The sequence below is a fragment of the Homo sapiens genome, chromosome 10 (assembly GCF_000001405.40).
Source record: "Homo sapiens chromosome 10, GRCh38.p14 Primary Assembly".
Taxonomy (NCBI): domain Eukaryota; kingdom Metazoa; phylum Chordata; class Mammalia; order Primates; family Hominidae; genus Homo; species Homo sapiens.
Genome location: NC_000010.11, coordinates 15,302,150 through 15,315,966, shown reverse-complemented (window position 1 = coordinate 15,315,966; position 13,817 = coordinate 15,302,150). Strand labels below are relative to the sequence as shown.

The 13,817-nt window shown below is 45.4% G+C and overlaps 1 protein-coding gene across 3 annotated transcripts in view; it reads left to right on the top strand.

The window, feature by feature from the left end:
• Positions 1-13,817, top strand: part of FAM171A1 (family with sequence similarity 171 member A1) — a 162,912-nt gene that overhangs the window by 58,588 nt on the left and 90,507 nt on the right. The window lies entirely within an intron of this gene.

Sequence of the window (13,817 nt, the reverse complement as noted above, 5' to 3'; positions counted from 1 at the left end):
ATACTAAGATGTTAGGTTTAGTGGCTTCTGGGAGCTGGGGTTGTGTATGTGGGATTATATTTTTCTTTCTGTTTCTTTATATTTTTTCTGTATTTTCTACCTTATATTGATAGTCAGGGGGCGAGGGCAAGGGGAAAGAGGTAAAAATCAAACACCTCTCCAGCCGCTCCTTGTCTCCAATAAAAAGGACATCAGAGCTTCTTAAGGCCTGAGCTTGGGACTAGGGAGTTGGGGGGACACCAGGTGAATCCCAGGGAGGTAAGGCGATGGCTTTCTAGCATGATCAAGGTCTCTGTGATCTCGATTAGTGAGAATAGAGTAAATTCTTTGGGTTGAAGAGATTTGCTGAGACCTTTGTGAACAAATATTTGCCCAGATACAAGTGCTAAGTCTGTTAGAATAAGGGGATAATGTGGTATTAAAAGGTGATTTCTCCAGGGTGCTGTCACAGGCACGCTCTGCAGTAGAGACATTGTCATTGAGAAGGAAGCTTAGCCATTTCTCATAATAATAGTGATGATAACAAAGCCCACACCGTGAAAGGCTAGCCACGGGCCTGCACAGATGTGAATGTTCTACACATATCAAACCACACAACTAACACTCAAAGTACGGTGTTTTCGATGTTAATACTTGACCCGTTTTGCAGATGGGAGAAACCGAGACAAAGGAAGATGAGACAGCTTGCGCCCATCACAGCCAGGACATGACAGAGCAGCTTGGCTCCAGAGTGGAACCACTCTCTGCCTTCCTATATTAGATGGATCCAAGGACAGGCGGAAATGTTGTCTGTCTGTCCTCATTGTGGTAGGAATTACACAGGTGTATACGTGTGTCCAACTTCATTAAACTGTACACTTCATTAAAATGGATGGACTTTATTATATCTAAATTATACCTCAACCAGGTTGGTTTTAAAAAATAATAAAAAGGCCTGAGGGTGACCTCTTCTCGAATTCCAAACTGGAGTCTGAGATCGTACCATTCTGATATGAGGAAAGGCTAGGCTCAGCTGAAACTCAGCCACCCATCCCGGAGGAACCGGAGAGACAGGGCCCAGACAGCGCCAACCAGCCTCCTCCCCGCGGCTGCAGGCCAGGCCGAGGTGGCAGGGGTGCTGGCTTGGAAGTCATTCCTGGGCTCGTGAGAAGTGACAGGAATGTGGCAGCGGATACTCCCCAACTTCCCACCTGGGCACGCCAGGAACCTGTGCCATTTCGTGGTTGGCGTCTTTGGAGTTGGGATGAAATGCCTTGATCTGCACCAGCAAAGCAGAAGAGTGCTGGGGCCCTTGAACTCTTTCCCCCGAAATAATAGGATGCAGAAAACTGCAGCATTCCATTATTTGTTCCTGTCACACAGGGAAATGCAGAGCCCAGGCCAAAATGGAAATCAGGTCTGATTGCTTCAACGAGAACACCTCGGTCCCAATTTTAGGTCAAGCCAGGGGTATTGGACAGTTGGCCAGATGGACCCGGTAACCCATGTTCCTTATACAATGGACTTGATTCACACCCTAGGCAAATGACAGTCTTCCCCGTATGGCCAGCCTCAAAAAGACATAGAAATAGATAAAACAGCCAAAGTTAAACTCTGCAAGTGCCTGGGGTCTACTGTGTTTGAGAATTGGATATTTGGTCAGTCCACTTAAATAAGAGCTCTAAAACATGCCACATGGAGATTTCTTTCTTTTTTTTTTCTTTTTTGCTAGGAATGTTAAGATCTCAGTGGCAATGGTGATGTGCATTCAGCCCTTTGTTATAATAACACACGACGTGCCTCCTGTTTTGAAATCCTTCCCCAGTTGTAGGGTGACGGTTTATCCTACCAGATACCGCATGACCAGACGCTTGGCGTGTCACGCTTCACATTATGGGGTTCTGGCAGTGGAAACTGATTGGGGAGGCACAGTGTCAACAGGAAATATCTGCCAGCGACACAGAAAAGGCTTCAGGAAAGATAACAGGAGGAGAGGCCAGATCCCGTCGTTGCCTTGCACTATGCAGATCGAGGAAGTGGGGAGTGATTCTGCCTTGTACAGAGCGTGTGGATTCACACAAAGTTCTCTTCTGTCCTGGCAGGAAACAGATCAACCCTCGGTTGGGGAAGGTGGAGGCTTGCTTTTCTCTGATCACACACTCTTGCAAACCTTAAAGCAGTTTCCATTAAACATATTTTATTTCTTCCAAATTAAGGATGACAATGTGAACCGTGAATGGCATTATTCACCGTGGGAAGCTGTTTTCCTTCACCCTCGGGATGTTTATGTATGCACCTTCATTTTCCTTGGCGTTTGGATGTGATTTCTTATGAAAGACTTGGAAATCTGCAAAAACTCACGAGTTACAAACCTACCGGTACTCAGAACTCTCCTGCATTTTCTAAGTGGTCAGTTCCTTTATTGTAAGAAAGCTGACTTGTTACAGTATCTCTTTAAAGGCAGTCCACGGTTTATATATTTTCATCTTCAATTTCTTTCTAGGCTGGTTCTTTAGGAGGAAGATTAAGTGTTAATCTTGGACCCTTGGTGCCAGAGTTAAGACCACGAGGACAGAGAAGTTCCAAGAGGGAAAATTTTAGCTCAAGGAAAGAAAGGATTTTCTAATATCCAGAACCACACAGGCATGGAATGGGCTGGCTGCCCAGGGCTGGAAAGTGAGTGGCAAACCCTGAAAGCATTTCAGCCACCAGTGCTGGAGTTTTTCCTCCTGAGGCTGCTGGGTCCTGGAACAGGAGGTTTACTGCTGCAAAGCAGTGGGTCAGAGTAGGAATTCCCAGTGTGTTTCCACGGAGGAGGAACCGTGCTCCCATCCAGTGCCCTGGGACTCTACGTGTCTCTGGAGCTGGTTTCTGGGCCAGTGCTTTGTTCCTGGCACACAGGGAGATGCAGAGCCCAGGCCAGAATGGAAATCAGGGGTCTGCTTGCTTCATCAAGAACATCTCGCTCAAAAGTAGAGAATAAAAAAGTGCAAGGCCGGGCACGGTGGCTCACCCCTGTAATCCCAGCACTTTGGGAGGCCGAGGAGGGTGGATCACCTGAGGTCAGGAGTTCGAGACCAGCCAGGCCAACATTGTGAAACCCATCTCTACTAAAAATACAAAAATTAACCGGGCGTGGTGGTGGGCCTGTAATCCCAGCTACTCAGGAGGCTGAGGCAGGAGAATCGCTTAGACCTCGGAGGCGGAGTTTGCAGTGAGCCGAGATTGCACCACTGCACTCCAGCCTGGGCAACAAGAGCAAAATATCGTCTCAAAAAAAAAAAAAAAAAAAAAAAAAAAAAAAAAAAAAAAAACACACAGTGCTGAACTCATTCCAGTAGTTGATTTACATTCCGGTGACAGATTTTTAAAAAGAGTAACAAACAGTTCAGTTTGCAGCCGGGCACCTCTGTGAGCCACAATCTGAGCTGCACAGCCCTGGGGGTATGGAGGGACAGGAGAGGGTCCCTGAGAAGGTGGAGCCCCCCGAGACTCGTGCATACCCCCAGTGTTGCCCCACTGGCTTTAACCAGAGCAAGCTCTAATTTTACTTAGTGTCAGCATAGCATTTTATCTTTAAAGGGTTCAGAGGCTTTAAAAATATTCGAAAGCTCCCCACCATAGCAGCAGACTCCTTTTGGAGTTCAGCAGCGAGTAAGCAACAGGGCTTTAGACTTAGAGTGACAGTTGGAGTGAGCGTCTCTCCATTTCTAACCTTGCTGCTTTGTTTATGAAGCATATTTTCTTTCCTATTCTTCTTTCAAGCTCACTTTTATAAGCAGGGGGCTTTTGATCCTCTCTTTCGATGACCCGATCTGGTCCGATTCAAAAGGCCATGCCTGGAACTTGAATGGGAGGCAGCTTTGGTATAATAGGAAGTGCACGAGATTTAGAAGATGCACGCTTGAATCTCAGCTCTGCTGGGTGGCAGCTGTGTGCCCTGGGCAGGTCACTCACCTTCTCCGAGTCAGCTTCCTTGTCTTTAAAAATGGGGCTGATCTCACATACCTCACTGTAACAGTAAATAATCACGTAATGTACGTGAGGAACATTCACATGTAGGATGAGGCCTTCAGTTTCACTGGCACCTTGGACTAGCACTGTCTAGGCATCATTTTTCTTGGAGCTGTTATCAAAGCCATATTGACTGTGAATGAGAGAAAATACCCTGTCACATGCACAGAAAAGGCTAGGCAGAGGAGAATTCTCCTTTACTCTCCTGGACCTCAGGTGCTTCTGTTCTTCCAGGGGGAAAACGTGATGCCGCCTTCTTTATCTTGAGAGCAATCACCTCCTACTCTATGCCTCCCAGGTGGGGTGGGGCGGCTTACTAGGGGGCTGTGGGGCGGGAAGAAACCAGGGACTGCATTTCATACTAAGCCACCCAGAAGAATGCTTTAGAGCTTATTTAAGGGGAATCCCAGGATATATGGAGATGAAGCTAAATTTATTTCTCATTTTTAATGCCAGGAGAGCAATGCAATCTGTTTGAAGGAGGAAACAAAAGCATTTACCCAGGGAAGGCGAAGGTTACTTCCTACAGAGTGGAGCCTTCCAGTGCCATTCCCTATTTTTGCAGCAAGTGGGTCAAAAATAACTAAAAGGGAATATAGGCTTAATTTTTTTCTCCAATCTTCTTCCTCCCCCTCTAAGTCATTGAAATGTCAAATGCAAAAATAGACAATCCTGCAACAAATACATTGAGAATATACCCATGCTGCAGAAAGCATGTGCTTGTAAAGATACAGAAGCCTGCCCAGTCTCTGCAAACAGAAATGCTTAGACCCTGAGTGTAAAATAAGTGGCCTGTTTTTTCTTTTTAAAGGCAACAACTGTAAATGTGTATTGTTTGAGGAACAGGGGGCAGTAGCCTGTGGGTGGGCCTATCAGGCTGTAACTGCATGAAGAGCAGGGATAAGGCTTGGAACAGAGATACGCCCCAGCAGCCCATCCTTCCAGCAGCCCTAGGTCCCCTGTATCTCATGCTGGCCTGGACTCAGCCCCTCCTGGAGGGCTCTGTCTTCCCAGCCCTGCTCCAAGACCCACGTGCTTGGGGTCCATCCTGCCACAGAGCTGCCTTCCAGGTACAGAGAGATGGAAAGGGAAGGAGACCCTCTGGAGGCTTCAGGCTTAAACCCAATGGGTCTTTTTTTTTTTTAAGACAGAGTCTCGCTCTGTCATGCACTGCGACTTCTGCCTTCCTGGTTCAAACGGTTCTCCTGCCTCAACCCCTGAGTAGCTGGGACTACAGGCACGCGCCACCACGCCTGGCTAATTTTTTTGTATTTGTAGTAGACGGGGTTTCACCATGTTGGCCAGGCTGGTCTCGAACTCCAGACCTCAAGTGATCCTCCTGCCTTGGCCTCGCAAAGTGCTGAGATTACAAGTGTGAGCCACCATGCCCAGCCCCAATGGGTCTTTATACTAGAAGGAGTTTTCGTTTTAAAGACGGGTCAGTTGGAGAGAACATTTGGTATTGGGTTGCAGAACAGGTTAGGCTGTGGGAGAGGGGCCAGGTTGGTCACGGTACTCTGCATTCAAGGCAGTGGGTCACAAGACCAGACCAGTTTGCATCTCAGCTCTGCCATTTGTAGGACATGTTTAACCTTCTTAGGTCACCCTTTCCTTTACAACAACCCAAGGGTATTACCTGCTCTAACCTGTGTCACAACATTAAGATCAAATAAGAGAAACCGTGTGATGATTTATTGGAAACTAGATTATCCCATACATAAAAAAGATGCTGTTTAGGGATTTTAAAAAATTTTTCGTTCCTCTTACCCACCAAATTCCTGCTCACCAAACACTTTCCCCCAGTCTGCACCTGCCCCCACACAGGCATTGCAACAGAAACTGGAAACTGGCCATTCTTTTATATATTTGGTTTTTGAAGGCCAGAAAGAAAATTTGACTATCAAGTATCATCGGATTCTTAAGCCCAACTTTTTTAGTTTTAGGCTAGTGCGTCCTACACCCAAAGACAACTTGTATTTGTTGCTCAACAAAAATACCAGAGACTACAAACGTTAGAGATTAGAGGTTAGAAATTAAACATATCTTTTGTGTTCTTTCCTCCTAACTGAACATTTACCCAGTCACTAAGCAAAAATAATTTAATGATCACTGAAAGTTTGCTGTGTTTAAATATTAGCAGCACAGGTAAATATTACCTGCAATTTTAATTCATTTGTTTTTCACATTGGAGAAAAGAAGGCATAGAAAATGCAGATTTCCTGCAAGTCCTGAGGAAAGTCTTTAGAAGTTAGGTGGGATTAGCTTCTTCCCCTCCAAATACTTTGTTTTGTTTGTAGATTCAAGTTCACATGCTATTGAGTATTTCATTTTAAATATGGGCAATTGTCGGCCAAGACTTTGAATGCTGTGGTTTGCTTTACATAGCTTTTAAATCATGAGTTGTGAGCCAGTGTTCAGCTCATTGGTTATTTCAGTAAATATGTGCATTAGAAAAATAAGATAAACTTGCCCAGGCACAGTGGCTTACGCTTGTAATCCCAACACTGGGACGCCAAGGCGGGAGGATTGCGTGAGACCAGGAGTTCAAGACCAGCCTGGGCAACATAGTGAGACCCCATCTCTACGAAAAATAAAAATAACAACCAGACATGGTGGTGTGTGCCTATAGTCCCAGCTACTCGGGAGGCTGAGGTGGGAGAATCGCTTGAGCCTGGGAGGCCGAGGCTGCGTGAGCCATGATCGTGCCCCTGCACTCCAGCCTGGGCAACAGAACAAGGCCCTGTCTCAAAAATAGTAGTAAGTTAAATTTGGTTTCTGCTTGTTCCTAATTTGTATTACATTTAAGTTCATGTTTATGTTATGTACATCCATTAATTTATTGCTTACAGATTACATAGTAAGAAATGAGCAAGAAAGCTGAATATTCAAAATACAAAGTAGGACCAGGTTTGCAATAAGGAATAGTTGTTCATGCTAAGATTTTATTTGGTTTTTTTAAGTTGTAAAAATAACAATTTATGGAAATACTGATTAAAATAGGCTTTGTCAGCCGGCTGCAGTGGCTCACGTCTGTAATCCCAGCATACTGGGAGGCTGAGGCGGGTGGATCACTTGAGGTCAGGAGTTCGAGACCAGCCTGGCCAACATGGTGAAACCCCATCTCTACTAAAAATGCAAAAATTAGTTGGGTGTGATGTCTGCTCCTTGATTACTGCTTGTGATGACCTTAATGTGGCTTTGCAACCCTTCAGGTTTAAAAAGGAACTAAAATGGTCAGTGCTGTAAAAACAAACAAAATACCCACTAATGCTTGGAGTGGAAAACCTGTTTTTTGGGGTTTGTTTGTTTGTTTGTTTGTTTGTTTTTTGAGACAGAGTTTTGCCCTTGTTGCCCAGGCTGGAGTGCAATGGCGCAATCTGCACTCGGGAGGCTGAGGCAGGAGAATTGTTTGAACCCGGTAGGCGGAGGTTTCAGTAAGCCAAAATCGTGCCACTGCACTCCAGCCTGGGCAATGGAGCAAGACTCCATCTCAAAAAATAATAGAAATAAAATAGAGTTTGTCAAGATAAGATGTCCGAGCTGTTCGGTATCTTTAAAAACTTTCTGCTTTTGAAAACTCAGTGTTAGCAGATGTTTGTCTATTTACAAGATTTCCTTTTATAACCTCCCCCTAGCATTTATTAATTTTCACAATGAGGTAGCAATTTTGCTTTGCTTTCTGACATGAGAGTATATGCCCTTCCTAAGTAAATCCTATGTACTCTGATTGTATACTTGCAAGTAGAGTATAATGTGTTGCAGTTAGATTGTGTGCCTGACAACCACTGATTTTGAAAGACAAATGTTAGTGTGGACAGCATGAGAGTGACAACATTGTTTAACACTTCCTAATGAAAGTAAAATTTTTCTGGGCCTGGTAGCTCATGCCTGTAATCCCAACACTTTGAGAGGCCGAGGTGGATTACTTGAGGCCAGGAGGTTAAGACCAGCATGGGCAACATAGCTAGACCTCATCTCTACAAAAAAATTAAAAAATAAAAAATGAGCCCAGTATGGTGGCATGTGCCTTTGGTCCCAGTTACCTGGGAGGCTGAGGTAGGAGGATCGCTTGAGCCCAAGGATTCGAGGCTGCAGTGAGCTGTAGCCACTGCACTGCAGCCTGGGCAACAGAACAAAATGCTGTCTCAAAAAAAAAAAAAGGCATTAATTCCCCCACATTGCCTCTGTGCTCCTAAATAAGACTTATTGGTTGGTTGATTAGGAAGGAAACATCACAGTATTGGAAGAATATACCCATGGTTTTGTGGTGGTAGAACTGTTTTGAGATCTTCTTCAAGTCGCATTTTTTTTTTTTTTTTTTTTTTTTGAAATGGAGTTTCACTCTTGTTGCCCAGGCTGGAGTGCAGTGGTGCAATCTCGGCTCACTGCAACCTCTGCCTCCCGAATACAAGCGATTCTCCTGCCTCAGCCTCCTGAGTAGTTGGGATTACAGAAGCCTGCCACCATGCCTGGCTAATTTGCTGTGTTTTTAGTAGAGACGATGTTTCACCATGTTGGCCAGGCTGGTCTCGAACTCCTGACCTCAGGTGATCCACCCGCCTCAACCTTCCAAAATGCAGTGATTACAGGTGTGAGCCACTGCACCCGGCCTCAAGTCGCTTTCTACTTTAAGATGGAATCTTCACTATTTGATCCTGTGTATGGCCTGTTAGCTCAGCCTGTTAGAATCACGTCTGTGTCGTGTCAGGGTTGCAGGTTCAGCCCCCATATGGCCTGTGTATATGACATGCATTTGCACCCTGCAAGCAAATGGGAATTTGCAGGGTTTGTGCAGATTCCAACTTTCTGAAAAACAAATCAAGGTATGTGCCCTCTTGCGGGTGGGCTGATGGTGTCATCCTCATGCTCCTGGGTCAGCACATAGAAGCAGGAAATAAGGTCACCCAACAGAGAGCCTTTCCACAGTACCCTGGATGTAAGTGGATATCCGCACCTGTGAACTGCAGTGACCGAAAGCCCTGGAGAGGGTTCCGTGTCTTCAGAATCACTGAGTGTTTTTGAAGGGCACATGGCGTGATGGAAAGCCGTGCTCTAGGAGGCTTGGTCTGGCAGGAGTGTTAGTCATGATGGATGTCAGCTGGACTTAGTTCCGGTGAGAAGGTGGATAGGACCTAATTGAGTAGAAGAAAAGGATTCTGGATGGAACTGCTGCTTCTCTGGCTGCAGATAGTTGTACTTAAGATGTGGCTTTCAGTCACTGCCCTCATTTATATTTTTGGGTGGTCATCCTTGAGATTCTTCACCTTAAATCTGATGGTCGTGACAGTCCATTGAAAAAGAATGGCTATGCCAGGCTCAGTGGCTCACGCCTATAATCCCAGCACTTTGGGAGGCTGAGGCGGGTGGATCACCTGAGGTCAGCAGTTTGAGACCAGCCTGGCCAACATGGTGAAACCCCGTCTATACTAAAAATACACAAAATTAGCCAGGCATGGTGGGGCATGCCTGTAGTCCCAGCTACTCGAGAGACTGAGTCAGGAGAATCGCTTGAACCCAGGAGGCAGAGGTGGCAGTGAGTCAAGATTGTGCCACTGCACTACAGCCTGGGTGACAGAGCAAGACTGTCTCTCAAAAAAAAAAAAAGAATGGCTAATCCTAAAAGGGTTAAATAAATTACATTGATATTGATGACAATGATGTAAGCATTTTTTCCTCTGCACAATTTAAATATTTTAATTTGACTTTTTCAAAGAAGAACCCCAAACAGTTTACCTGTCATAGCCTCAGTGAAACACCTGAATTGAAATCTGTAACTTAAAATCTTCTCAATCACATTATTCAGGTAAATGCACATCTGAATGTGAAGATAGGGGCTTGCCCCAGCAAGAAACATACGGTCGAGTTGCACACGAGACCCATGCCCGTGATACATTTATCATGTTATCCATGGATCATGCTCTATTTGTGCGATTCCTTTGCATGATCTTGTCCATGCTGTCAGACCCCGTTCTGATGATATTTTGAGAGCAGTTCCACTAAGAGCTCTGTCCAGGCCACCCTCCTCGCCTGTGTTGAGAGAGGATCTGAAGTTTGGCGTTAGTCTTCCTCCTATGTCTGTCCCCGTGTTCGTGCACAGGCACATAGGCACCAGCAAGCCTTTCTCCGATTTTAGGGCTGGACTTTCACCATGGGTTCACCCCACAGTGTCCTTCTGTGGCAGTCCAATTTGCATATTGGATGTACAATTAACCACTTCCCTGCTCAAAAATCTTCAGTGATTTTTTGCTGTCCAAAGTCTGAAATTTTTCATTCACTCTTCTGATCTTTTTTTTTTTTTTTTTTTTTTTTAGCCAGATCTCACTCTGTCACCCAGGCTGGAGTACAGTGGTATGATCACTTCTCACTGCAGCCTCAAACTCCTGACCTCAAGCCATTTTCCCACCTAAGCCCCCTGAGTAACTGGGACTACAGGCATGCACACCACACCAGGCTAAGCTTTTAATTTTATGTAAAGATGGGTCTCACCCAGGCTGGTCTTGAACTCCTGGCCTCAAGCAATCCTCCCACCTCAGCCTCCTGAGTTACTGGGATTATAGGCATGAGCCATGGCACCCAGCCCTCCATTCAGTTCTTTTATAGACATTATAGAGTCGGGAAGGTGACGTGAGAGGTTCATCAGGTCTGATACTGAGTCTTTTATTGTGCTTACCTAACCAGACATTTCCTCTCTCCAGATTAATATTTTCTGTGATCTAGAATTTACTGTTTATTCATGCAGCCTAAACTGTTACAAAGATCTTCCTTGCAGCAAGTATAAATAAAACTAGTTCTGCACCAGTACCTTGTTCATGGCGTATCTTCACCGGGAAAACCTTGAGTCATCTACTATTTTAAATTATAAGTTTTATTATTATTCAGGTGTGGTGAGGCCAACAGACCAGTAGAGGATGGGCAGCTACAGGGAAGATAGTTACTTGGCCGGGTGCTGTGGCTCATGCCTGTAATCCCAGCACTTTGGAAGGAGGCTGAGGCAGGCGTATCACTTGAGGTCAGGAGTTTGAGACCAGCATGACCAACATGGGAAACTCCATCTCTGTTAAATACAAAAATTAGCCAGACGTGGTGGCGCATGCCTGGAATCCCAGCTACTTGGGAGGCTGAGGCAGGAGAATTGCTTGAACCTGGAAGGCAGAGGTTGCAGTGAGCCAAGATTGCGCCAGTGCACTCTAGCCTGGGCAACAGAGCGAGACTCTGAAGAGAGAAAAAGACAGAGAGAGAGGGAGAGAGGGAGGGAAGTTAAAAGAAAAGAAGAGTTGCTCACAGTTCCCAAGAGGAGGGCTACACCATAACAGGCAGGGCCACACAGAGAAACACCAGGGCCAGCCAGGAGGCTGAGGGAGCAGGAGAAAATGTGGGCAGGACCCTTTATTGAGGTTTTTTCAGGAAGGAATGGACAAGGCAGGGTATGCGGCCGCAGCAGGTTTAGGGTTGGCTAATTTGACTAATTTTGATGGGTTCTGGGGCAGAGGAGCTCACCCCAGTTGACTGGTACCTGGCCCTGGCGTCATCAGGGCAGGGAAGGGTGGCCTGGAATATAAGAGCCCCTAGGGGATGTGGCTGGGGAGTGGGCTCTGGATTGACAGGCTGCAGGTGAAAGTCATGCTCACCGAGCAGTAGTTTATGATCTCCAGGAGTAATTGCTGGGAGGGGCAGTCCCTACATGCCCAGCAAAGCTCCAAGATGTCAAAGCATCAAAATTAGAGAACACAAAGACACAATTAATATACCTACTCACCATGACGGTCCCTTCTCAGTTATGAGTAGCTACATAACCTTGAATGAAAACCTCAAGTTCCTCATCTGCAGAATGAAGGGTTGAGGATTATAGCACATCCAAAAGCCCATTGTTTCATCCTTTGGGGAGGAAGCTTCTGACACTTTCTGCAACTTTTTCTCCATTGCCAGTCTCTTTGGGTTTGTTCCATTGGGAAGATGCACCATCAGCCCCGGGAAATCGTCCTGTCCCTGCATGCCTGTGGCACAAACGACACTTTCTCCATGTGGCTCCCGCACAAGGAGGGCAGGTCAGCAATGGGCCATCCTAGGACTTGACTTAATCTCTTTCATACGTGAACTTTTCTGCCCACGCTTGTATTCCTAACTCCTTTAACTGATGGGTGTTCTTGGGCACGTCGTCACTGATCCTGCAACTCTCCTAACTTCAGTTCTTGGTCTGAGCCAAGTGATTATTTGGTACAGTATATACGTCTGTGACCCATTGGGCAGGTGACATTTAGGAACACCAATGTGAAGGATAATTTAAAATAGCATCAACTTGTAAATGTAAGACAAAATAATGGCGGAGCCTCTGTTCTGCTACTTGAAAAAACAACTTCCCATTGTCTGTTGTAGCATTATGAATTGAGATGGCAGTGAAGGGGTGGCTGGAACTCTTATTTCTCCAGGCGAGAGAGGGAAGTCAAGCCCCCTGTATTGACATTGCTGCCAGGACATGAGCTATAAAGATTAAAAGATGAAAGTTTCCTCCATTTGACACGAACTAAGAACCATTCTAGAAACTTAAACTGTGTGGAAAATACCGTATGCTGATGTTCACTACGGAAAAAAATCACCAGGAACGGTGCTGCGCTGTTCAAAGTAGTTATTTATTCCCCCATAGATGAAGCAGGAAATTTCAATCGTGTGTGATTTTAAAGTTCTTAGAAAACTCCTATAAATTTTAAAAATAATTATAAAAACTATAAATTATAAAAATATTTCATAAATTTCATAAATATTGAGGTAAATCAGGACTTTTTTTTTGAGATGGAGCTTTGCTTTTGTCGCCCAGGCTGGAGTGCAGTGGCACGATCTTGGCTCACTGCAACCTCCGCCTCCTGGATTCAATCGATTCTCTTGCCTCAGCCTCCGAAGTAGCTGGGATTACAGGTACCCGCCACCAAGCCTGGCTAATTTTTGTATTTTTAGTAGAGACGGGGTTTCACCATATTGGCCAGGCTTGTCTCAAACTCCTGACCTCAGGTAATCCGCCTACCTCGGCCTCCCAAAGTGCTGGGATTATAGGTGTGAGCCACCGCGCCCGGCCTTAATCAAGACATTTTAAGGTTTCATGACTTGTAGGCGTCAGCATAGTTTACCATGCTGTTCCATTAATACAGAATTTATTCAGTCAAATGTAGAAAGCAGAAATAGTATTTCACTAAACACATGCACATTTTTGAATGTTAAATGAGTGGCAACTGGCAACCTAATTAGCATATCACTTTAATTCTGCTCCTTGGGTTACTGCTTGTGATGACCTAAATGTGGCTTTGCAACCCTTCAGGTTTAAAAGGGAACTAAGATGATCAGTGCTATAAAAACAAACAAAACACTCACTAATGCTTGGAGAGGAAAACCTTCAGATTCTGCTTCTTGAAAGGCTGGACCCATGTGGCACAGTCTAGAATGACATGGGGTTTCTTTTGGTTTTTTTTTTTTTTTTTTGGTTTTGGGTTTTTTTGTTTTGTTTTGTTTTGTTTTTTTTGAGATGGAGTTTCGCTCTTGTTGCCCAGGCTGCAGTGCAGTGGCGCAATTTCGGCGCACTGCGACCTCCGCCTCCTGTGTTCAAGCAATTCTGCTGCCTCAGCATCCCAAGTAGATGGGATTACAGGCGCCTGCCACCACACCCAGCTAATTGTTTTGTATTTTTAGTAGAGACGGGTTTCACCATGTTGACCAGGCTGGTCTCAAACCCCTGACCTCAGGTGATCCACCCACGTTGGCCTCCCAAAGTGCAGGGATTACAGGCATGAGCCACCGCACCTGGCCAAGAACAACATGTTAAACTAATGGAGCAGAGT